The sequence below is a fragment of the Homo sapiens genome, chromosome 1 (genome assembly GCF_000001405.40).
Source record: "Homo sapiens chromosome 1, GRCh38.p14 Primary Assembly".
Lineage (NCBI taxonomy): Eukaryota > Metazoa > Chordata > Mammalia > Primates > Hominidae > Homo > Homo sapiens.
Genome location: NC_000001.11, coordinates 228,082,139 through 228,104,682, shown reverse-complemented (window position 1 = coordinate 228,104,682; position 22,544 = coordinate 228,082,139). Strand labels below are relative to the sequence as shown.

The window sequence follows — 22,544 nt, the reverse complement described above, 5'->3', positions numbered from 1 at the left end:
TGTACAGAGTGGGCTGCAGCAGTTCTTGCAATAGGCAGTGAGAGAAATGAAGTTCTCTCTAGGTATGTCCGTGGGGGAGGGGGTTGGTGAATGGAATTTATATGAGGGTTTGAGGAATCTGGCTCAGGCTGAGTCCAGTTTCTTTCTGTGTTTTGAGCAACAACCTAGTTACTGTCATCTGTGCCTGGGAACGTTCATGGCTATGGCTCGGGTTCAAGTCTGCAGAGGAAATTATACAGTTGGCGAAGTCACAGAGTGGCCAAGGGACTCTGTTTCTCAGTCAGCACTGGGAATGAAAGTGGAAAGGGGAAGCAGGGGTACGTCACAACCTCCAAAATCAGGGTGCCCAGCACGCTGAGGTTCTGGTAAGGGGTTTCTTCCAGACTGCAGACTTCCTTCCCGCTGCCTTCACACAGTAGAAAGCTGCACAAAGCTCTTGGGGTCCCTTTTATGAAGGCTCTGTCCTCATGACCTAGTCACCTCCGAAGCACCAACGCCTTGGGGTGAGGATTTCACATGGGAGTTAGGGTGCACATTCAGTTTAACACGGCAGGGATAGGACCAGTGCTCTGAGGGTGTCTGGGTAGCTGCTGGTTCATCCAGAAGTTTACTGGGTAATACTCAGAAATTCCACAAATCATTAAGGTCATTACCTTGTTAAGCTCCCGATATGGAATCGCGACTAGCAGTGACCAATTGGCGGTGTTAACTAGGCGCATCTTGTGTGTTTTCTTTTTTCTTTTTTTATGAGACAGGGTCCGCTCACTCGTTCAGGTTGGAGTGCAGTGGCGCGAAGTCCTGGGTTCGAGATCCTCCCGCCTCAGCCTCAAAGCGTTGGGGCTACAGGGGCGCGCGCGCGCCTGGCCCATTTTAACTTCTTATTTTTGAGACAGTCTCGCTCTGTCGCCCAGGCGGGAGTGCAGTGGCGCGATCTCGGCTCACTGCAACCTCTGCCTCCCGGCTCAAGTGATTCTCCTGCTTCAGCCTCCTGAGTAGCTGGAATTACAGGTGTGCACCACCACACCCGGCTAATTTTTGTATTTGAGTAGAGACCGGGTTTCACCATGTTGGACAGGCTAGTCTCGAACTCCCGACCTCAAGCGATCCGCCCGCCTCGGCCTCCCAACTTGCTGGGATTACAGGCGAGAGCCACTCCGCCCGGCCCCGTTTTAACCATTTTTAAACTTCCAGTTCAGAGGCGTTCCCGCGCCCGGCAGGGTAGGCGCAGTGCGCAGGCGCCCAAAGCCGACGTGGAGGTGATGCGCGGGAGCACAGATCCGGGGCAGTGCGCTGCGCAGAGGCGCGCGGCGAAGCCGAGTGGGCGCGGGAGTGACGTCACGGCGCGCGACGCGGAGGCGGGGTCGGGCCTGGGTCCGACGGTAGTGGGTAGCGGGTCTCGGGTTGCGGGTTGCAGGTTGCAAGCCGCAGGCCCCAGGCAACTGCCTTCCCGGCGCCATGTTCGGCTCCAGTCGTGGAGGCGTGCGCGGCGGGCAGGACCAGTTCAACTGGGAGGACGTGAAGACTGACAAGCAGCGGGAGAACTACCTGGGTGGGTGCGCGCGGTGGGCGGGCTCCGGGCTCCGGGCTCCGGGATCCCGGGCGGGCGCTGGACTCACAGCGTCTACGTCCGCAGGCAACTCGCTGATGGCGCCGGTAGGCCGCTGGCAGAAGGGCCGCGACCTCACCTGGTACGCCAAGGGCCGGGCGCCATGCGCGGGCCCGAGCCGCGAGGAGGAACTGGCAGCCGTGCGGGAGGCGGAGCGCGAGGCGCTGCTGGCCGCCCTGTGAGTGTCCGCGGACGGCAGCGGTCGGTGCCTGGGACGGCGCTGCCGGGGCAGGGTGGGGCCGGGGCCGGGGACTGGGGGTCGGGCTGGGCGGGAGCGGGGCTGCGGGGACTCGCGCGGGCGGGACCCTGAGGACGAAGGCTGGAGTGGTGAGGACCTGTGGTGGGAGGAGGTCCGTCCGTCCTGACGCCTGCCCCGGCCCTCTCGCAGTGGCTACAAGAACGTGAAGAAGCAGCCCACGGGCCTGAGCAAGGAGGTAACTCCCCGGGGTGGGGGGCGCGTGGAGGGCCGTGGGTGTGGGGCCGACTCGAGCGCTCCCTGTGCTCTCGCACCTGCAGGACTTCGCGGAGGTCTGCAAGCGGGAAGGAGGCGACCCCGAGGAGAAGGGCGTGGACCGGCTGCTGGGGCTGGGGAGCGCAAGGTGCGGGCGGGTTTCCAGGGGAGGGCAGCACTGGGCTCGATTGCTCGGGTGAGGCGGACCCCTGCCGTACTGTCTTCATCGCCATGTCCCTGCAGTGGCTCCGTGGGCCGCGTGGCGATGTCCCGAGAGGACAAGGAGGCCGCCAAACTGGGGCTGTCTGTGTTCACGGTAATCCCCCGCCCCGCCTGACCGCAGCAGGGGCTAACAGGGGTGGGGCGGGGCGGGGGCACTGAACGGAGCTCCCCGGGGCGCTGCGGGGCGTGGTGTGGGGCCGGCCCGCAGACTCCTCCGCAGAGCTCGCTTCTCCCGCAGCATCACCGCGTAGAGAGCGGCGGGCCCGGGACCTCGGCAGCCTCGGCCAGGAGGAAGCCGCGGGCGGAGGATCAGACGGAAAGCAGGTGAGGCTGTGCCACCTGGGCTAGCTGTGCCCCGGGGTGGGGGGTCTCGGGAGGACCGGAGCGGCTCCCACTCGGGCAGGTGGCAGCTTCTCTTGGCGCACCGGCCCGGCGGGTGGCCTGCCCTACTTTACTTCCTGTCCCAGTTACTCCTAGGTTTTTCTCTAGGGGAGTTTCTCGGGTCACCCTTGAAGAGAGGTCCTAAGTACTGGCAGTGGTCGGGCGCTGTGCCGTGGGAGGGCACTCAGGACCTGGGGCGGGGCCTTTTCCTGCCGTGGGTGGCACCTCCAGGGCTTCTCCTGGATGGTGAGCCTGGGCCTGACCCTAAGAGTGGCCTGGTGGGTGCAGGTAGGAAGGTGTCAACCTGCCAAGGGCACGGCTGGGGTGGGGCAGGGGCGTGCTGTGGAGATGGGGATATTGCATCTGTTTCTAACCCACGTAGCCACTGGCCACGTGACTACGTAACTGAGGAGTGGAATTTGTAGTTTGATTTAACTGATTTAAAGACGCACTTGTGGGTGGTGGCTTCATCTGGATGGGGCCTGCTTGTGTTCACTCTCTTGGCTTGCAAGACTAGGGTCTGAGGCACACCTTGTATCCTCCTTGTAGTTGTGAGAGCCACAGGAAAAGCAAGAAGGAGAAGAAGAAAAAGAAAAAGAGGAAACACAAGAAAGAGAAGAAGAAGAAAGACAAAGAGCACAGGCGGCCAGCTGAGGCCACCTCCTCTCCCACATCTCCTGAGAGGTATGCCCTGGTCCATATCTGCCTCTTGGGGGTGGGGGCCTGGTTGACTCCTTCCGAGTGACTGACTGCCATTGGTCTCCCCAGGCCCAGGCACCACCACCATGACTCCGACTCCAACTCCCCCTGCTGTAAGAGGAGGAAGCGGGGACACAGTGGGGACAGGAGGAGCCCGTCTCGCAGGTGGCATGACAGAGGCTCTGAGGCCTGATGGCTGGACCCTGCTCACTGCTGTTGTGGGACCCTGAACCCTCCCTTCACCTTGCTTGCCTCCTGCCTCGGAAGCTCCTTGGGTGTGGGTGAAGCCCGAGGCTGCTCCTGTGGAAGTGGCTCTGGGCACCAGCCTGTGGGGCTAAAGACTTGACAGCTAGCTCTGGAGCAGCCGGCTTCCTGGAAAACCTCCAGGTTTCGCATACCAGGGATGGCCCCTGGCTTGGCCTGCGAAGGTGAACCTGCCCAGATTTATCAGTAGAGGCTGGACTCCCTCTGTGTCCTGCCCATGGTTGCAGCAGCCATGGGCCTATGAGCGGTCTAACTGTGGCCAAGTATGGTGACCTCTATTTTTCTTTATATTGACTCTTTGTATTTCAATAAATATATTTTAAAAGGAAGGTATATCAAATTGGAAGGTCAGTATCAGGGGTTAATGAGATCCCACTGGAACGTCGGAGCTGGGGTCTGTCTCCCAGGAGTCTGAGACCTGGTGATTTTTTTTTTTTTTGAGTTTCACTTTTGTTGCCCAGGCCGGAGTGCAATGGTGTGATCTCAGTTCACTGCAACCTCCGCCTCGCGGGTTCAAGCGATTTTCCTGTCTCAACCTGAGTTGCTGGGATTACAGGCGCTGCCACTACGCCAGGCTAATTTTTGTTATTTCTTAGTAGAGACGAGGTCTCACCGTGTTGGCCAGGCTGGTCTTGAACTCCTGACCTCAGGTGATTCGCCCGCCTTGGCCTCCCAAAGTGCTGGGATTACAGGTGTGAGCCCCGGTGCCCATCTGATTCTTAATGTCCTGGGGGAATGTAGTCCTCCCATGTGTGCCCAGAGCCCCCACCAAAACCCAGGGAGGGCTGAGGCCCTGGAAGCAGGTGCTCAGCTGGCAATGTGGGAACCTGGGGCAGGGAGCCCTATCCCTGCGACAGGTGAGGTCAAAGACTGCAGTCTGTGGAGGCACAGCCTCAATTGGGTGTGGGGGTTGGGGAGCTCCTCCAACTGCCTGCTACCCCAACCCTCAGCTCCGCTTCTCCAGAGGCAGTGGGCTGGGTGTCCCTTCTGCCTGACCCTAAGAAGGATCAGGGCTGTTCAGGATGTGTGCGGCCACCAGGCTGCATGGCATAAAGACAGATGGCACCTGGGCTGCATCACAGTTCAATGCAGCGTTGCAGTGTTGGGATCAGAGGCATGAGCTCCCTCACCTGGCCTGTTTCTGATTTCAAGGGAAGTTATGCAGACCTTCCTCAGGGCCCTGGCCAAGGTGTAGCTTGTGGCTTTGACCTCTGCCCTCACCCTCGGGTGGCTACTGGAGTAGAGACTGTGCTGTCTTGGGTGCTGTCAAGGGGGATGAAGGTTGGGCCACCTAGCCAGGGCAGCCCTCTCTTTTGGGACTCTGCCCAACAGAAGGCAGACCTTAGACCTGCTGATGGCCCCATCCCAGAAACAGGTACCCCCAGACTGGCAGCCCCCTGCTGCATGGCATCTTGAGGAGAGGTGGGGGCTGTGCCCACTCAGGCAGGGACCATTCCCTGGTTGGCACAAAGCCCTATGTATGCTAGCAGTGGCCCTGCCCCATAGCCAGCTATACAAAGTGGGGTTCAGCAGCAGGCCGATGGAGGGAAGGACGGAGGCTGAGGTCTTCCATGGTGCCTGCTGACCCCTGCCCTGTATGGCCCAGGTCTCATTGGCTGGGCCCGACAGGACTGCAAACGAGATCAAGGTCACTGTGGGCAACCATGCTGGAAGAGCCTCTCACACAGACACAGAGAAGTGCCTGCACACTCAGGAGGGAACATGGGGAGGGTGTGGACTGAGGTGGCGGCCCTAGGCAGTCACCTGTACTTCCTAGAGTAAAGCTGGCTGATGCACCCACCATCTCCTGGGGGCAGCATGCCTGTGTGGAAGCACTGGAGAGCCGGTGAAATAGTTAAGAGATTTTATTCTAATAGCTATAATTACAGTGCTTGTTTGTCGAAATGAAAACTGAAAACAAGTATACAAAACAGTTGATTACTAATCGTGTATTGAAAGCAGTAAGAGGTTCCACGACACCAAATAGACCAGTTCTGAGGTTTCCCCAAGATAAATTTAACAGCTCCAGCTTCAGTGTTTATCAAAATACAAAAGAAAAAAGTAGAGGTTGTCTTTTTCGATGGCAAATCGGACCCTTGCAGGCTGAGGGAGAGAAAGCTACATCACACACAGAGGTGGGGTGCTCCCGAGGGGCTGTGGGTCTAGGTGGACCGCCTGCCCGGCTTGCACGCGCTCCTGCTGGTGAGGCCCCAGACATCCTGCCAAAGTGTCTGAGCGAGCACGAGTGTTGGGGACGACGGACCCACTCTGGCCACACGGCGACCGAGGGACAGATGGGGCCCTGCGTCCCATAGGCTGCCTGAAGGTGGGTAGGGCGGCCTGCGGCATAGTGGGGTGGCTGTGGGCTCCCAGCCTGGCCCCTGGGAACCGTGGGAGCACAGGGACAAGCACATGGCTATGGAATGCAGGGTGACCCAAGGACAAGCGAGTTGCGGGGATCTCTACTGTGACCATGCAGAATTGATCGCAGTCTGCTGCGCCACCACCACCTCATGTTCCCGAGGGGAACAGCTGGGCTGGCGACTGGCATCCAGGCCGTAACTGCAAATCTATGCTAGGCGGGGTCTCCCTTCTGTGTGTTCAAGTGTTCTCGACTTGGATTCTTAACTATTTTAAAAAATGCACTGAGTTTGGGTTAAAAACCAACCACCAAAATGGATTTCAACACAGCTCTAAAGCCAAGGGCGTGGCCGGCTCTCCCAACACAGCGACTCCTGGAGGCCAGGTGCCCATGGGCCTACATCCCCTCTCAGCACTGAACAGTGAGTTGATTTTTCTTTTTACAATAAAAAAAGCTGAGTAATATTGCATAGGAGTACCAGAAACTGCCTCATTGGAAACAAAAACTATTTACATTAAATAAAAAGCCTGGCCGCAGGCTGCGTCTGCCACATTTACAGCACGGTGCGATGCACACGGTGACCAAACCACGGAGGCAGCTTCTGGCACTCACACCACGAGCCGCACGTTTGCCACATGAGAGTAAAGCAGAGGGCAAGAGGAGTGAGAGGGAGGGGGGTCGCGTTCACTTCTGGTTCCGGAGCTGATTGGACAGCCAGTCCAGTCCTTCATAGAGCCCGTCGCCGCTGGTGGCGCAGGTGGCCTGAATGTACCAGTTCCTGTGGCGTAGTGAGTGCAGCCCCAGCTTGTCTGTGATCTCGGCCGCATTCATGGCGTTGGGGAGGTCCTGGGGGAAGGAAGGGTTGGTGGGAAGGGCTGTCCACAGGACAGAGAAAGGGGCCCCACCAGCCTCCAGTAACCCCTACCACCAGGCGGAACCCACACTGGCTCCTCACATTCCCCAGGCTGGCCCGGGCGCCTACCTGCTTGTTGGCGAACACCAGGAGGACAGCATCCCGGAGCTCGTCCTCGGCCAGCATCCTCATGAGCTCCTCACGGGCCTCGTTCACACGCTCTCTGTCATTGCTGTCCACCACGAAGATCAGGCCTGCCGGGCAGCCAGTGTCAAATGGTCATGGGAACACAGCCCCCCTGCCGCATCTATGGGCATCGATGCCCCATCTATGGGCTGGCCCCCCCTCTCTAGAAGCAGGAGTGCCCATGGGACCAGGCCCCAGCCACTTACCTTGTGTGTTCTGGAAGTAGTGGCGCCACAGGGGCCGGATCTTGTCCTGGCCACCCACGTCCCACACAGTGAAGCTGATGTTCTTGTACTCCACGGTTTCCACGTTGAAGCCTGGGTGCGGGATGCAGGGTGAGGCCTTGTACCTTGGCCCAGCCCAGCCCAGCCCACTCCCTGCTGGCCCCCACCTCACCTATGGTGGGAATGGTGGTCACGATCTCACCCAGCTTAAGCTTGTAGAGGATCGTGGTCTTCCCTGCAGCATCCAGGCCCACCATGAGGATGCGCATTTCTTTTTTGCCAAAAAGGCCCTTGAAGAGGTTGGCGAAGATGTTCCCCATGCTTGTGGACAGGTGGAAGGACACTGGCCAGGGACACCTGGAGAGACAAGGTGCTCCATGTCTGGTTCTGTGCTGCCCAGCAGTGGTTGCTCAGAACCCACCCACCCAGGGATGCACCACTGCCTCACCCCACCTCCTGGAAGCCTGCAGGGAAACAGGGAAAGAGCCCTGCCTCCCATGCCCCCCAAATCCACCTCAGGATGGGGGCTGAGGGAAAATGGCTGAGTCAGGAATTGAGAAACTGTTGCCCTCATCTTGGGAAGCTGTCCCCACAGCTGCATGGCCAGAAAGGCTGCCTCATCCCAGCCTATGCAGGAGGGGAGGCTGGCTGCCTGAGGACTGGCTTCCAGGTGCGTGCAAGGCTCCTCTACACCCCAACACAGAACCTTCCAGGGCCAGAGAGCACCACTCACTGTGCCTGCCCACACTCACAAGGACCAGAGCACACAGGGCCACGCCAGACTCAGCAGGACACCTTCAGGGACACACTCCCATGAGGACACAGCCTCGATGGGGCACGCCCGCCATGTCTGCCCCACACCGCAAGGGTAGGGGTTCCCTCAGCAGAACACAAATATCGGGGACAGCAATTAAGTCAGCTGGCACCCACCATCAGAGCCCTGCGGAGACTCCAGCAGGAAGGGCCTCCACTGCCCAGACGCCTCTGTGAGGACACTGAAGTTGTTAGGCTTTGGCCTCACTGGCCAGTGGGCAATTTCACGAATCAGGTGATTTTATCCCGAACAGGGACTTTAGAAAACACTGGTCACTTTCTGAAACAATGACTGCTTCTTCACTGCACCCGCAAGCGGGGCTTACCCCGAGTGAGGAAGGCTTCTGCCTTCAAGAGGACATGCCAGGAGCCTGTGAGCACACCCACCCCTCATCAGACCTCCTCCACCAGGGGTTCCACACACAGGTGGCTTTTGGCTGAATCACAGCCATGACTGTCCGCTGGTGACTCTCTCATCCAGTCACCCCAGCACGCTACGGCAAGGAAATGCCTCTTCTCCATTTCTCAACATCAGCAAGAGCCCACACATGCCTGTGTGTTTCAGTGGGTGTGAACTGGCCGCCCGTGTCTGATTTAACACTGCCATCATCCCAGATGAGCCACAGAACCCCTTCAAGCTGGATCAGTGTCCTTTGGACACTTTGCTCTTGGTTTTGAACATGTCACCTATTCTGAAATTTAAATGAGTTCTGAAATTTATAAGGACCTTCACTGTAGTGTTCCCTTTTTGGGGACGGCCAGGTTTTCTAAGCCCAGAGGAAGACCACCACCCATGGAGCACAGAAGAGACTGAATACCTGCCCTCTCAGTCCACTCCTGCAACCACTACCAATGAAGACACCAAAATGACACACACGCCTTGAAGGGCAGAGAGAAAAGGGAGGAAGACCTTGGATGTGATGATTGACCAGGCAGAGAAAACTGGACCGCCTGGGACCCAAGGGATGAAGCTGGGACTGCCTAGGGCAGCAATGTCCAATCTTGGCTACCCTGGGCCACAATGGAAGAAGAATTGTCTTGGACCACACACAAAATATACTAACACAACAGCTGGTGAACCAAACCAAAACAAAAACCCCCAAAATCTCAATGTTTTATTAGAAATTTGTGTTGGGTCGGGTTCAAAGCCATCCTGGGCCACATGCGGCCTAAGGGTTGGACAAGCTTGGTCTAGGGGAGCAGCTGCAGCAGGGCTTAGGCCTGCGCTGAGCCATGACAACACACTTGAGCCATGAAATTCCAGAATAATTCCTGAGAGTTCTATATGCCCCAGCAGATCCACACACAAGCAACTGGAGCTCCGCCCACCCCCACCCCCCACCAAGAGACAGGCCTGTCTGCCTTTGAAAGGCCACCAACATAAGAGACCCAAATATAAAAGGAATCTGCAAGGAGGCAACCAAGACAGGAGACTGAAGACAGAATACTATTTTAACAAAGGACAAGGAGAGAAACCTGATAGATACACAAATAGCTGAAAAGGAAAATTCAAAATGAAGGTGCTCAGAAGGCAGAACAAAAACAAACAGAATGAAAAAGGAAGATGAGGAGTAACTTAAGATATCAACCAACAGAAACCCTAAAAAGAAAGAACGTACGAAATTACGGGGTGAAATTTTTCCCTGTTCCAGAGTGGGGACCCAGGAATCTGGGCTTCGGCCTCAAAGGGCTGAAGCGCAAAGCCAAGGACCTAGATGAGACCCAATAAAGGTGCAAGGTGGACTCCAGAATGCACAGGGGCAAATGACACCTCTGATGCCCCAGAGAATGGAAGACTCTGAAACACTGCTTTCGAAACCCTTTAATTCTATACCCAGCCAAAGTATCCAACAAGTGTTAGGGGAGAATGAAAATAACTCCCAAACTGCAGGGCCTCAGATCTCTCACATGCTCCCTCCCTAAGAAGCTCCCCCAGGGAACCAGGGAGAGGATGCGAGCCCACAGCAACGTGGAGAGAGAGCAGCAGCCTAGCCAACCCCACATGGAGAGAGAGCAGCAGCCTAGCCAACCCCCTCAGACTGGAGCAGGAAGTGGACACCTGCAAGAATGGGGCACGCCACCTACGTATTCTTATTATGGGGTTGGGCAACTCTAGGCAATGCGGAAAAACTAATAATGACAGGTTCGCATGAAAAACCCAAGCATGAAATGGAACGAAAAGAGGGCCTTTTATGAGTTACTCCAGGAAAACATATGGTGGAGGATACTCAGGGAGTCCTGATGTTGTTATTACTAGGGGGTTGGAAAGCTGAGGCGAGGGTGTGTGGTGTCAAAGGCTTGTTAACTGTACAAGTTAACAAGTCTAGGAGGAATAAACCTAGGACACCAAGTCAGCAGGGACTCAGGAATAAGGGTCGCCTGCCAGTTGGGCAGAGGCAGCACCAGACTGCCACGACCACTGAAGCACAGCACTTGGGAGAATTGACAGTAACACCCAGCCACTCAGGGGAAGGGGTGTCACACCGTCACCAACCCCCTCGACCCCAGCACTGTCCGTGATCCACACATGCCTGCTGCCTCCTCATGCCCGGGGCAGTGCCGCCAACCATGCCCAGGAGATCATGCAGCCTGCAGGCAGTGGGGTTTGTGATGCCAGTAATCCCAGGCCCTCCCCATTGGTGGCTTTTTTTTTTTTTTTTTTTTTTGAGACAGAGTCTCACTCTGTCATCCAGGCTGGAGTGCAGTGGCTTGATCTCAGCTCACTGCAACCTCTCAGGTGCGATCTCGGCTCACTGCAACCTCTGCCTCCCAGGTTCGAGATTCTCTTGCCTCAGCTTCCCGAGTAGCTGGGACTACAGGCGCGTGCCACCACGCTGAGCTAATTTTTATTTTTATTTTTAGTAGAGACGGGGTTTCACCATGTTGGTCAGGGCTGGCCTCGAACCCCTGACCTCAGATGATCAGCCCACCTCGGCCTCCCAAAGTGCTGGGATTACAGGAGTGAGCCACCACGCCCGGATTTTTTTTTTTTTTTTTAACAGACCAAAGCGTTAAGAGTCCCCAAAGGAGGGAAGCCACCCTGCAATGGAATGGCAGAACCAGGATGGGTGAACCTGAAGTCTCAGGTGTCAAGACATCGGCACACAGACAGCTTGGTCTCTCCTACCGACAAGCACATCTGTGGCCCTGCTGCACATATGGGCAGAGGGTGGCTGGCACGTCCTGCCTCGGCATGTTCCAGCATCCCCACAGGACCCTATACCTGGCAGCCCCTACATCATTTACTGCTTCTGTGACAGATGGAGACCCAATAGAGTTTCCTAAGAGGGAGAAAGAGTCCACAGCAACCCCCACCCTCAATTCCAGGGCCTCTTGGTACGGGTCCTAACTTGTGTCATGCCCAGGCCAGGTGCTGTCACCCTTTCTTCCACCAGAGTCCCTGCACACAAGCCAAAACCCGCTTTTCAGGTTCATCGGAATTATCCTGTGGTAGGAGCAAACCTGACTTTCTCAGAGCCTTCCTGCTTGTACACAAGGGGACCCCTCACACTTTGAGAAGGGGCTGCCCAGCAGGAGGATGCCAGGAGCCACCAGTGGCTACTTCTCTTTCCTGACCACGCTGTGGGCTCCAACTCTGAGGAAAAAAAGTCTTTTAGGAAGAATGTTTCTTTCTTCAGTGAGGACCACAGACCAATGGTAAAGGTGGCCTTCAGGCATTACACCAAAGAACGGGACAGTCAACTCTGGCAGCTACATTCCCCGACACCTCACTGTGCCTGAACAGGGGCAGGGAGAAAATGTAGCTCTGTGAGTTCACATCCGTTTTGTGTCCATGAATGGATCCAACCAAACTGGTCCAGATGCACATGGGGTCCAGATGCCTCTGTGGCCTGTACCCAGACCACCAGCCAGTACTGTCCTCGGTCCCTTGCAGATCTCAGGGATACTTTGGCATGAGTCAGGGAAGGGAACAGGCGCAGGCGGAAGGTTGATCATCTCCCCCAACCTGTCAGAGCTGGTGTATGTAACAGAATCTCTAAGTGACCTGAACTGACAGGAACCAACAGAAAGACAGAGACACCTCCAACCTCTAGCACAGGACAAACAAGCTCCAGGTCCAAGATTCTGTTCTGCTGACTGACATCCACGAATGGGGCTCACATGATGTGCTCTGCTTACATGGAAAGCCAGTGACATCGAGAGTTCTCTTTTTGAGACAGGGCCTCACTCTGTCACCCAGGTTGGAATTCAGTGGTTCGATCACAGCCCATTGCAGCCTTGAGCTCCTGGGCTCAAGCGAACCTCCCACCTCAGCCTCCCAAGTGGCAGGGAATGCAAGGGCAAGCCACCATGCCTAGCTGATTTTTAATATTTTCTATAGACAGGGTCTCGCTATCCTGCCCAGGCTGATCTTGAACTCTTGGGCTCCAGTGATCCTCCTGCCCTGACCTCCACAGTAGTTGGGACTATGTGTGTGAGCCAATGCACCCCACCCAGAGTTCTTTTTCAAAAAGCTTTTATTAAAGTCAAGTTCACTGACAGATAAATTACACACATCTTTATAGTTCATAATCTCAGTTTTACTATCTAATCTGAGGAAACTGAACAAAGCTGATGACTTCCTGAAGGGACTCATGTACATTACATAACATTTTAAGAATTTCTGAGGAACAACAGCCTTTCAACAGTCATACATATAGTGTAGATGATCAATTTCGTGAAAGCCTGTGTTCATGTCCCACACGAAGATTTTCATTTTAAGGGAGTCCTTAAAATGAAATGCAATATGGCCATTTATTCTCACCTGCACAAGCTGCTGCTTGTTTACCACACCAGCCAAATAAAGCCTATGGTCATCACGCTACCCGCCAGCCAAATGCTCCATTTCTGTAGGCCTGACATTTTTCTGTGACTGAGCACTGCATTACATTTTGTCACTATTTTACCAAAACTCACGTAAAGGGAAAACTAAATGTGCCGATACTGGTGACAGGCAGACACATCTCACAGGCTGGCACAATTGTGACACAGGTGCGAATCAAAAGGCATGCTCAGAGGGGAAGACACATGACCGAGACACTCCACGCACCCAATCATGTTGAAGAGACTTGCAATCATGCAGATTGAGACAAAAGGATGGCACACACATTCTAGAACTCTTATTCTGGGCTGCATCTGAAGGCGAGTTCCACTGGGAGTCTGCTGTTTTTTTTACACAAGTTTCAGGATGTTTTTAGAGGAGCTCATTAGGCATTACAACTCGACACAGTGACCCCACAGCCATTAGGAGATGAGGGCTGCGAGGCACAAGGGTCCCCTCTAACACATCTGCTGCTGGCCTTGAGTTAAGGGAGGGCATTATCTATCAGGTCTGACTTTCAGGTGGGGCAATCAGTGAAATTCAGTTTAGATCACTGTTTGTCAGCTTAAAATTCAAGGTGATATCTTAAATCAGTTTGTGTACTGACAGCCAGAAATGAATTCCATTTTTGTGATTCCACCTCATGGACTGAGTTCTGGGACTATAGCTAATGTGAACACCAAAGAACCGTTGCCCACTAGCTAATGTAAACACCAAAGAACCATTACCTGCTTATTTGTGTATTTCTTGCTTCTTGGTATTTGTGAAGTGTTACTTCAAAGCACCTCACCAAACGTAAGTCCTTCTGAAATCTGCAGATGCACAGCTCTAACCACACACCAGGTGGACTCCCAGGGCTGCTGAAGGCAGTGTCTCATGACCTCTGACCACAGCTACAATGAAGGACTTGCACTGGCTGTGCACATGGCATCATGGCAAATGCTCTCCAGTCCTTTGTGCTGCCCCAGCCCTGCTCTCTCAGTGATGGGACTCTGGTCTGTCACTGAGCACAAGGCCCTCTAGAATAAAACCCCTGTTTCCTGGCCTCCCTGCAGCTGTGCACACCCCGTGAGTCAGCTTTGTCCATGGATGCTTACACAAGGACATGGAAGGGGCAGCAGAGCCTGGGGCCTACCAGTATTTCTACTCTGGCAGGCAGGGTGCAGTTGGCCTCTACCTGGCCCCCAGTGCAGTGGCTGATGGACTGGCCACTGGGAAAACCAAGACCAAAAACGCAAACCCACATTAGCCCCCAACACTGAAACTCACAACACAAGCTGAGAATAAGGAACCTGCAGGGATTTAACACTGCAACGAGGAACAGCTAAGAAACACAGCACCCCTACCCCCACCTCTCCCTGCAGGTGACAGCTGCCGGGAGAGTACTTCAACCAGCCCCGTCCCCAGGGCCAAAGAACCAGCAGTTTGAGGTCAGTTTGGTGCCCACAGGGGAGACCCTGTCTCCACAGGGCTTCTGACCAGAACCCCAACTCCTAGGTGAGGTCCCAATGCCCTGGATCATGGCCCAGTCCAATTCTGCCAGGCGCCTATGCTGTGCCCAAGGGCTCTTCCAACTTGAGGGCAGGCACTCCCAGGGGCCTGGGCCCTTGTGCTTCACTCTCTCCCATGCATGCTAAACAGCGAATGACTGTGCGATGGCACAGCACCAAGCCAAGAGGGCAGGACGAGTGTCCACATCCCAACCATCTGCTAGCAGTGCGTTCCCCTGTACCTCACATGGAGGCCGCTGGTTCCAGCAATGACCAGAGGCTGAGTCCACAGTGCCCATCTCAGCATGGTCAGCGCACACGTAGCGGAGCTATCTGATGTGACAATGCTACCCTGGTTTTCAGGGGAGTGGCAAGAACCCAGGAAGAGAGGGTGATACTCAGTTTTGCCAGTTCACTTCCTGAACTACACACTCACCACAGACATGCTGGGCACTGAGCTACTGCCAGGCACTGTTCTGGACGAACATAGGCCCACCATTGTGTGGGGCTGGGGGATCCAGGGCCCTGAAGGCCCCTTTCTACACCACTTGAAAAAAAAAAGGGGAACTGGAACAGCACACTGCTGGTGTTGCTGTCATAAACTGGGAGAGCAAGTTGCTCCTTCCTCCAACCACTAGAAGGGGGTGGGGCCCTTGTAGCTTCTCCGCACCAGGTTAAAGAAAATTAATGCAATGGCTGCACCAGTGATTGAGCCAATGCCTAAAACTTGATTTCTGCCTTCAAGAAACGTTCATTTTAAAAATGTAGGCTGAGGGGAAACACCACACAAAGACTTGCTCTTCCAGAGAAATCAAAAGCGAAGTGCAACAATGGGAGTGGGAACCATCACCAGGTTTCCCCCAGCTTTGGGACGAGCACCACCTTGCCACCCCACCCCACTCTGGTCAGTCAGACATGTAAAGAGACGGGGATGCCCCCCCACAGACCCTGGGAGGCCACCGCCCTTGCAGGAAATCCTCGCTTCTGGAGGCACTCCAGACCTAGGTGAGAGAAAGGCACACCCCGGGGACACTCTGGGGACCTCCCTTCAAGTGACCTAGTTCTCACACACACGCTGGCATCTGCCCTGCTCTCCAGGTGATGGTGGCCCCTACACAACGACCCCACATTTCTCTTCAAGACTTTAGACCCTCCTCCCAATTCCTGCCCCTTGACAGCCAGCTTTGCAGCCGAAACCCCCCTCCCAAACCCAACAGGCATTCTCCGCTGTGATGCGAGTAGCCTCCCTCCTGTTCCCCAGGCAAGAACCCCGTCTCCAGCCTCCTCCTGCGTGTTCTCAGCACACCAGTCAGCCAGGTGACCCGATGTTCTACTCAGAGCTGCCCCACGGCTGCCGCCCGATCAGGTCCTTGCAATAGGCTGCCTTGGTCCACAACATAATGCCCACACTGTGCTCTAAATGCTGCCTCTGGCAACCCAAAAGGAAGTAGAGACAGCATCCCAGCACTCGCACAAGACGGCAGAGAACCACTGCTCTGTCCCAACTATGATGCAATGGGGAGTAAAGGAAAGTGACTTCACAACCACGCTAGAGGACCAAGGGTGGCGGCCAGAGAACCACCCTTACCAGGCTGCTCATGCACTGACACCACCAACCTCAAGGGCAAGCCATGTCCATGAAGCAACTACTGTAGCTTTTCCTTCTGGAAACTGAATTCTTGCTGTGATTCTGAAGAGAACAATACACAGTCATCTTTGATTTATAAGGTGATTTTGTTCCTGGAACTTCAGAACACCTGTTAAAACTATGCACAAAAATTTTTTTTTCATATTTATAACAGGTCTGGGACATCAGACGACCTCCCCTACATGAAGGTCAGACAGGAAGTGTTCTTGCCACTGCCAAAGGTGCCAGTGCTGCCACCCAAAAATGCCACCACAGATTACCAAATTCCTTTTTCTGGGAACCGCGGACCCCCTCCGAGGGCCACTGCACACCCCAGCAGGCTTCCCACCCAGTATGCACCCTACTCCTGACAGGTCTCCAAACTCTGCCAGCCAGCGCACTCACCTCAGGGATTCTGCCCTGATTGTCCCGGGCCACTCCTTCACATCTCTGCTCACATGGCACCTGTCAAATGACACTCAGCCCCTTCCGGATGGTCCTGGTATCTCCCTGCCTTCCCTCCACCAGTGTGGGCAGCTCTGTGTGGCACTCACCGTCACAGCCACTGCCCCCGTGGAGCCTCATGCTCATCAAGCAGGGCTTCCTTTGCCCAGAACAGGCCTTCCTCCCCAGCCTCCCACCCTCTTCCGCTGGGCACTGCACAAGTGACTCACCACCAAGGAGAGGAGAAAACAATGGCAAAAGAATGTTTATCAGGCCCATAGGGCTCATGAAGATCAACTGTACACATCTGCAGATGTGCTTTCCCTAAAAATTAAGTTCGTCACGAAAAACCTATCGCATCAACAAGGAATTGCATGCTTTTTAAAAACTGTACTCATGTGTGGGTCAGTCTGAACATTCTTTTGACCATAAAAATGTGGGAAAATGGGGTTGTAGATGCTGTTAACTACTGAAGGCAAAAGTGTGGCAGCTCAGTGATGTCAGACACAAGAGGGAGGGAAGGATGTGTGTTCAAAATCTGTTTTCTAAACCTGCCCCCAGGTCCTCAGCTGATGAGTAGGTATAAATTTTTTTAAGAGCTAAGGGTCCTGCTCTGTTACTCAAGCTGGAGTGCAGTGGTTATGATCACAGCTCACTGCAACCTTGACCTCCTAGGTTCAAGTGATCCACTCTCCTGCCTCAGCCTCCCAAGTAGATTGCACTACACAGGTGTGAGCCACAGTGCCTGGCTAGTACAAATATTTTAAGGAAAATGTCACCACCAAAATTGCCAGAAGATGTATTCATAGTATTTTAAATATAAATCAATAAATTTGATTGGTGAGTGAGCAACTGCATTCCCATCTACAGAAGGTACAAAGCACAGGCACATCTAACTGCCTCCGTTCCCAATCCCCAGGATGAGTATAGATGATAGCTTCTTGGCCATTTGTACCTAAATCAAACCTATAAAATACTTAAAAGTTTCCCGCATAGCGTATATGGTACTGCAAAAATAACTTGCTGTATGACACAAATGGAAAGATGTCTCATGTCTAGCCATGCTACCACTGGAAGCCCTTTGGAAATGAATCTTTCTAGCTTGCTGGCATCCCTTCAGGGAGTAAAAACTATTTTAATACATTCTGCCTAGAAGGCTTTCAAAATATACTATTTTGAGGACATAGGAAAACCCAAACTCAGTTTCTCACACACTCTTATAACACAGGTCGCTTCTCACACCACATGAGCAGGGGTTTCTCCCTACATGCCAAGCAAGCAACCAGTTCTGCGTTCTGCAGCAGACACCAGCTAGGTGTCGTTTAATTCAGTTCAATTCTGACACTGTCTACCTGGAGGCAATCACAAACTCCAGGTTATTTTACCTGTGCTTCTGGACAGCCATCTATAAATCAGGGTTCCCATAACTCCTTCCCCTTGGGTTCAATTAATTTGCTAGAGTGGCTCACAGAACTCAGAAAAACACTAAAGGTTACTGGTTTTTCATAAAGGATGTTACAAAGGATACAGATGGAGAGATGCAGTGGGCGGTGTATGAGGGAAGAGACACGGCGCTACCTTTCCCTCCTGGCTGTGCCATTCTCCAGGAACCTCCATGAATTCAGCTTTCTGGAAGCTCTCTGAAAACCCAGGCAGGCCTTTCGGGTATTTCCCATCAACAAGGAATTTCATGCTGTTTCTTTTTTTTCTTTTTTTTTTTTTTGAGACAAAGTCTCGCTCTGTTGCCCAGGCTGGAGTGCAGTGGCGCGATCTCTGCTCCCTGCAAGCTCCACCTCCCGGGTTCACGCCATTCTCCTGCCCCAGCCTCCCGGGTAGCTGGGACTACAGGTGCACACCACCACACCTGGCCTATTTTTTTGTATTTTTAGTAGAGTCGGGGTATCACCATGTTCGCCAGGATGGTCTCAATCTCCTGACCTCATGATCCACCCGCCTCAGCCTCCCAAAGTGCTGGGATTACAGGCGTGAGGCACTACGCCCAGCCTCATGCTGTTTCAAAATTGTACTTAAGTGTGGTTCAGTCTGAACATTCCTTTGTACAAATGTGGAAACACGGGGCTGTAGATGCTGTTAACTACTGAAGGCAAAAGTGTGACTTCATGGTATAGGTGTGATTGATTAAATTATTGGCTATTGGTGACCAGCTCAATCTTCAGTCCCTCTCCACTCTGGGAAAATTGGAGGGTGGGGCTGAAACCCTCTAATCCTGCCTTGGCCCTGTGACTAGCCCTACCCTGAAGTTTCGTAGGGGCTGCCCATCACTGGTCAACTCATTAGGGTACAAAAAGACATCATCACTTCGGAGATTCCAAGTATTTTAGCCAGGAAATGGGAGGCAGGCCAGATATGTATTTTGCAATCCACAACTATAGACTTCTAACTTCCTGAAATGTTCATGGACTGAATCAACTCTCCTGTCCACTTCATGCTGTACACCAGCAGTGAGCCCTGGGCCTCAAGGGTGTGGGAGAATGTCTGCCTTCTAAACAGAATCATTTTCAATTGCTGTGCCTGTGAAAATCTGCCTGCCTTTTATGCTTTCCCTGTCTCTTCTCTTGTCATTTAGGCTTCTCCTGTTATCAGGGCCTGTAAGAAGCACCACCCTTCCCAGTCTGTTGGCTGACAACCGGCTGCAAGCCCTTGTTACCACTGTGTGAGAACCAGGAAACCAGGATTAGTCAAGGACTTTATGGCTTATCAGCCAGCCTCACTGTCTCCCCATCCCTGTAGGTGGCTGAGTGACAGGACCCTGGGGGAGGACCTGAGAGCCTCCTGGGAACAAAGAGCATCCAGGACATGTCTGTCAAGTCGCTAACAAGGTCATCTGACCCACCTGAGAATGTGAAACTACCTATCTGGACGGTGCGGCAGCTGCGCAGCTGTAAGGCAATAAATGCAACTATGCCTTAGAGAGCTTGTAACAATCACAGGAGAATATTAACCTGAGGATGAAGGCAAGTCCTGGAATCCCAACATGAAGGGGCCAAATCTTTTCCAAAAGACCACTTCAGACGCTACGGGCAGAATGCCCCTACCAACCATCCACGCCAATGAGGAGCAGGCACAACACAGAAAACACAAGTTCTCATAATTTAAGATCCCCACTGCGAGGCCTTTTCGTGTTTCTCTCCCAATTATCTTTGACAGTGCACTCTATTTCCTTTCACCCTCTTGAATTTACGGAGGTGAAAGGTCAAGGGGAGAGAATGCCTATGAGAGACAGTATGGGCCCGCCAGCCCAGGCTGGCTGCAGCCTCTTGCTCAGGAGAATGGTCACAGCTCAGGAAGAAGTGTGTAGGAAAGCTTGGTGGAGCCTGGCCTGTGAGTAACAGCAGGTTTAAATACACCAAGGAGACATTTAATTTGAAGAATCTAAAAAGAACTGCTTCAGTTCTCTGAAACCATGGTCATATACTACTCCACGTGTGAACTTGCACAAGTTTTTTTCTCTTAGGTCTACTTCCATGATCACCGCAGCGGCTGACAGTCCATATTAAATTCTACTGAACTGAAAAATGAAAGGTCAAATGCATCTTCCTATAGTTTCAAGCCTGTCTGGTCCGTAGGGGCAGATGAGCAGTTGAAGATGTCTGAATGTCCTCTCCATATTGTGCAAGAGGTACAGCCCATAGCTAGACCACATGATGTACAAAACCAGAACTGTGAGGGGCACAGAACCAGTTTTTGCTTTTCACTCACAGTCATTGTGTGACTCAGCTGTTGTCCAAACCAACTGTTTCAAATCTTTTTCAACTAGCAAATCCGAAAATCTGCCTCACAGGCAACAGCATATTCCTACTGCTGCAGTGATTTGGATTTATTTTCAACAAGATACGCCTGAAGACAAGTGACAGCTATTCTCCAGTCTACCAACATGTGAAAACATGGACAACACACTCTAACAATGTGTCCAATGAGATGTGTGACTAACATTTACACTACTCAATTCTTCTCAATTTTGGACCCAGCTAATAGTACGGCATTTCAGGACCTTATGGTTCTGGCTACCTAGGCAGTGCTGGTGAAAATTCAAATTAAATGAGGACACCATCCATGCGGTCACACGTGTTAGACAATGGCTAACGCAACAGCAGAGGGCCACAGGGGCCGCACACAACTGCACCGCGGCATCTCACACTCCTCCCAACACACTGCGGAAAACGCCAGAACCACCAGCCTTGCAACAGCCGGCAAAGAAAACTGCTGACCACTAGTTCTGAAACAAGAACTACAACTGCCCACTCCAACAGGGGCAGTGGCACCAACTCTACAGCTCTCAACTAGGCGGCGACTTCGGGGACCATCCAAAGCCTCCGACCTCCCTTCTTTTCCTGCCCGCGATTCCGAGTGCATTTCTGCTCAATTCCTGCAAAGCAGCAACTGGCTGCCTGGACTGAAAGGGAGTGCCAGGAGGTGCCGTCGGAATGGTTATTTAACACTCTAGGTGCGCACGGCTGTCCAGCCCCAATCTCACACGCCGTAACCACCCAGGCTGTGCTCCGAGAGAGCGCTGGGGCCGGCCTCTGCGGCCTAGAGTCTGCGAGCAGGTCGTTCCGCAGGCAGGTTAAAGATTCAGGTAGGTTAAAGATTCACCAGCTCAGAAGAGGCCTTCTTATCTACTGCCGACAACGTCAAGGAAACCACCCTGGAGTTAAAGCGAAGATCGACCGGCCCTCTGGAGGCCACCGGTGCCCTGAGTGCTGACCCCAAATTGCGTCTCACTGGTGTGAAGGGAGGCACTCTGGGCTCCCCCGGAGGTCCACGCATTCCGTTCAGCAGACAGGGAAGGGCACGGGGTTCCTGTCCACCTGCCCGCCCGCTCTCACCACCCCTGACCCGGTACCGTCTTCACAGCAAACACGAACTGGATGGAGTCGGGAGGCGAAGATGCAAGCCCCCACCACCTACATGACCTTGACGGCGTCTCAGGCCGCCCGAGCCTCAGTTTCCCGGTCCCCGAGGCGGGGGTCCGCCCGGATGCCGCTCGCTCGCCTGTACTCGGGTGGGGGAGGCCCCACGACCCCCACCGGCCCCCGCGGCCGCTAATCCCAACCGTCCACGCGCGGGCGGCCTCGGGAAACGAGAAAGGCAGAGGCGAGGGAAGCAGGAAGCCCAGGTTTCCTGGAGAAGAGCCCGGCGTCCAAGCGGACTTCCGGGCGACGGGCGGGGGCAGGGACAGGCAGAGGAGGACAAGCGGCCGCGAGCGACTTCGGGAACCTGTGAGGGGTGCGAGGAGCTCACCGACCCGCCCGTCCGCCCAGCCCCGACTCCGGCCGGGCCCCAGCCTCAGCCCGGCCCGTCTGCGTCCGCCCCCGGCCCGGCCCTGTCGCCGCCGCCGCCGCGGGGGTCGACGTGCCCTTCGCGAACCTCAAGTCGCCCCGAGGCCAGTCCCCAGCCCCCGCCGGCTCCAACGTCTCTGCGGCCCACACCGGCCCGCGCCCCTCGCCCTCACCTCAGAGGCTGCTGCTCCGAGCCAGGCGTTGGTTTTGCTCCCACAAGATGGCGGCTCTGACGGCGGCCACGTCAGCGCCTCCGGGCGCGGGGCACGCCGGGTAAGGGGCGGAGACGCCGGGAACTCCGCCCACCGTGCGCCCGCGACGCAGGCGCGCTGGCTCCGGTAGGGCTGCAGGGGGCGGGGCCGGGGACACCCTGCCCCGGGCCGCGGTCTTAGCTCGCGCGCACCCTAGGGGCGCGCACCCGTCTGCGCCTGCGCCTGTGAGTCTTCCGCGAAGACAGCCTGTGGCTCACTCCCGCCCGTTTGGCGTATTTGGAGACTGAGGCCCGGGGGGCTCCTGCAGCAACTGGAGCTGCGGGGCTGGTTGCCACCTTCCTCCTCCCACACCCGGCAGTCACCGGGAGGCCTCGGGGACTGCGTGAGGACGGGGGTGCGAGGCGCCCCTCGCCGGGGTTGGGGTTCCTGGCTCCCAGGCTGCGCGGGTCCACGTGCCCCGGCCCTGTGGAAACCTGTGGCACTCGCGGGGCCACGGCGGAAGGTCCGAAGGCGGGAGGCTTGCTGTGTCCCCGCACTGGCCTCGGCGCCCCGGCGGCCGCAGTGACGCGCGGGCTCATACCTGGGCCC

General features: G+C 54.8%; 2 protein-coding genes and 1 non-coding gene across 7 annotated transcripts, besides 15 other annotated features; 1 reads left to right on the top strand and 2 right to left on the bottom strand.

Moving 5' to 3' along the window:
* Nucleotides 431-1,150: an enhancer, noted in NCBI's record as "H3K27ac-H3K4me1 hESC enhancer chr1:228291234-228291953 (GRCh37/hg19 assembly coordinates)". NCBI's record gives its function as "activates a minimal SCP1, AML or CMV promoter by ChIP-STARR-seq in primed H9 embryonic stem cells {active_cell/tissue: H9 hESC(primed)}" and the evidence as "EXISTENCE:reporter gene assay evidence [ECO:0000049][PMID:30033119]".
* Nucleotides 1,151-1,871: an enhancer, noted in NCBI's record as "H3K27ac-H3K4me1 hESC enhancer chr1:228290513-228291233 (GRCh37/hg19 assembly coordinates)". NCBI's record gives its function as "activates a minimal SCP1, AML or CMV promoter by ChIP-STARR-seq in naive and primed H9 embryonic stem cells {active_cell/tissue: H9 hESC(naive and primed)}" and the evidence as "EXISTENCE:reporter gene assay evidence [ECO:0000049][PMID:30033119]".
* On the top strand, nucleotides 1,358-3,952 carry C1orf35 (chromosome 1 open reading frame 35). Of its 2 annotated transcripts, NR_130975.2 has the most exons (9): nucleotides 1,358-1,549; nucleotides 1,634-1,784; nucleotides 1,995-2,040; nucleotides 2,123-2,205; nucleotides 2,301-2,373; nucleotides 2,518-2,603; nucleotides 2,769-2,948; nucleotides 3,210-3,344; nucleotides 3,429-3,952. NR_130975.2 is itself a non-coding variant. In NM_024319.4 (8 exons), exons 1-8 carry the CDS (start codon nucleotides 1,456-1,458, stop codon nucleotides 3,550-3,552), a joined length of 792 nt encoding a protein of 263 aa, NP_077295.1. In that variant the 5' UTR covers nucleotides 1,358-1,455; the 3' UTR covers nucleotides 3,553-3,952. The 2 variants fall into 2 exon arrangements, 1 of the variants encoding a protein (NP_077295.1); NM_024319.4 differs by lacking the exon at nucleotides 2,769-2,948.
* Nucleotides 1,594-1,863: a silencer, noted in NCBI's record as "silent region_1912". NCBI's record gives its function as "represses an Ori minimal core promoter by ATAC-STARR-seq in GM12878 lymphoblastoid cells {active_cell/tissue: GM12878}" and the evidence as "EXISTENCE:reporter gene assay evidence [ECO:0000049][PMID:35858748]".
* Nucleotides 1,872-2,591: an enhancer, noted in NCBI's record as "H3K27ac-H3K4me1 hESC enhancer chr1:228289793-228290512 (GRCh37/hg19 assembly coordinates)". NCBI's record gives its function as "activates a minimal SCP1, AML or CMV promoter by ChIP-STARR-seq in naive H9 embryonic stem cells {active_cell/tissue: H9 hESC(naive)}" and the evidence as "EXISTENCE:reporter gene assay evidence [ECO:0000049][PMID:30033119]".
* Nucleotides 2,024-2,193: a silencer, noted in NCBI's record as "silent region_1911". NCBI's record gives its function as "represses an Ori minimal core promoter by ATAC-STARR-seq in GM12878 lymphoblastoid cells {active_cell/tissue: GM12878}" and the evidence as "EXISTENCE:reporter gene assay evidence [ECO:0000049][PMID:35858748]".
* Nucleotides 2,444-2,523: a silencer, noted in NCBI's record as "silent region_1910". NCBI's record gives its function as "represses an Ori minimal core promoter by ATAC-STARR-seq in GM12878 lymphoblastoid cells {active_cell/tissue: GM12878}" and the evidence as "EXISTENCE:reporter gene assay evidence [ECO:0000049][PMID:35858748]".
* Nucleotides 2,592-3,312: an enhancer, noted in NCBI's record as "H3K27ac-H3K4me1 hESC enhancer chr1:228289072-228289792 (GRCh37/hg19 assembly coordinates)". NCBI's record gives its function as "activates a minimal SCP1, AML or CMV promoter by ChIP-STARR-seq in naive H9 embryonic stem cells {active_cell/tissue: H9 hESC(naive)}" and the evidence as "EXISTENCE:reporter gene assay evidence [ECO:0000049][PMID:30033119]".
* Nucleotides 4,423-4,662: an enhancer, noted in NCBI's record as "active region_2689". NCBI's record gives its function as "activates an Ori minimal core promoter by ATAC-STARR-seq in GM12878 lymphoblastoid cells {active_cell/tissue: GM12878}" and the evidence as "EXISTENCE:reporter gene assay evidence [ECO:0000049][PMID:35858748]".
* ARF1 (ARF GTPase 1) lies at nucleotides 5,471-21,975 on the bottom strand. Of its 4 annotated transcripts, none has more exons than NM_001024226.2 (5): nucleotides 21,833-21,975; nucleotides 7,421-7,605; nucleotides 7,231-7,341; nucleotides 6,968-7,092; nucleotides 5,471-6,831 (listed from the first exon to the last, which is right to left on the bottom strand). In NM_001024226.2, the coding sequence occupies exons 2-5, from the start codon at nucleotides 7,566-7,568 to the stop codon at nucleotides 6,670-6,672; spliced, it is 546 nt and encodes a 181-aa protein (NP_001019397.1). In that variant the 5' UTR covers nucleotides 7,569-7,605; nucleotides 21,833-21,975; the 3' UTR covers nucleotides 5,471-6,669. The 4 variants fall into 4 exon arrangements, with proteins under 4 accessions (NP_001019397.1, NP_001649.1, NP_001019399.1 ...); NM_001658.4 differs by having other exon boundaries at nucleotides 21,918-21,975; NM_001024228.2 differs by lacking the exon at nucleotides 21,833-21,975 and adding an exon at nucleotides 21,331-21,549.
* Nucleotides 6,248-7,447: an enhancer, noted in NCBI's record as "CDK7 strongly-dependent group 2 enhancer chr1:228284937-228286136 (GRCh37/hg19 assembly coordinates)". NCBI's record gives its function as "activates an origin of replication core promoter dependent on BRD2, BRD4, P300/CBP, MED14 and CDK7 cofactors, with strong dependence on CDK7, by STARR-seq in HCT116 cells {active_cell/tissue: HCT116}" and the evidence as "EXISTENCE:reporter gene assay evidence [ECO:0000049][PMID:35650434]".
* Nucleotides 6,248-7,503: a biological region, named in NCBI's record as "CDK7 strongly-dependent group 2 enhancer GRCh37_chr1:228284937-228286136".
* Nucleotides 6,534-7,503: an enhancer, noted in NCBI's record as "H3K4me1 hESC enhancer chr1:228284881-228285850 (GRCh37/hg19 assembly coordinates)". NCBI's record gives its function as "activates a minimal SCP1, AML or CMV promoter by ChIP-STARR-seq in primed H9 embryonic stem cells {active_cell/tissue: H9 hESC(primed)}" and the evidence as "EXISTENCE:reporter gene assay evidence [ECO:0000049][PMID:30033119]".
* MIR3620 (microRNA 3620) lies at nucleotides 7,342-7,420 on the bottom strand. The gene has a single exon (NR_037415.1). It is a non-coding gene; the product is annotated as a microRNA 3620 (primary transcript).
* Nucleotides 7,504-8,473: an enhancer, noted in NCBI's record as "H3K4me1 hESC enhancer chr1:228283911-228284880 (GRCh37/hg19 assembly coordinates)". NCBI's record gives its function as "activates a minimal SCP1, AML or CMV promoter by ChIP-STARR-seq in primed H9 embryonic stem cells {active_cell/tissue: H9 hESC(primed)}" and the evidence as "EXISTENCE:reporter gene assay evidence [ECO:0000049][PMID:30033119]".
* Nucleotides 14,657-14,716: an enhancer, noted in NCBI's record as "active region_2688". NCBI's record gives its function as "activates an Ori minimal core promoter by ATAC-STARR-seq in GM12878 lymphoblastoid cells {active_cell/tissue: GM12878}" and the evidence as "EXISTENCE:reporter gene assay evidence [ECO:0000049][PMID:35858748]".
* Nucleotides 21,589-21,688: a silencer, noted in NCBI's record as "silent region_1909". NCBI's record gives its function as "represses an Ori minimal core promoter by ATAC-STARR-seq in GM12878 lymphoblastoid cells {active_cell/tissue: GM12878}" and the evidence as "EXISTENCE:reporter gene assay evidence [ECO:0000049][PMID:35858748]".
* Nucleotides 21,719-22,538: a silencer, noted in NCBI's record as "silent region_1908". NCBI's record gives its function as "represses an Ori minimal core promoter by ATAC-STARR-seq in GM12878 lymphoblastoid cells {active_cell/tissue: GM12878}" and the evidence as "EXISTENCE:reporter gene assay evidence [ECO:0000049][PMID:35858748]".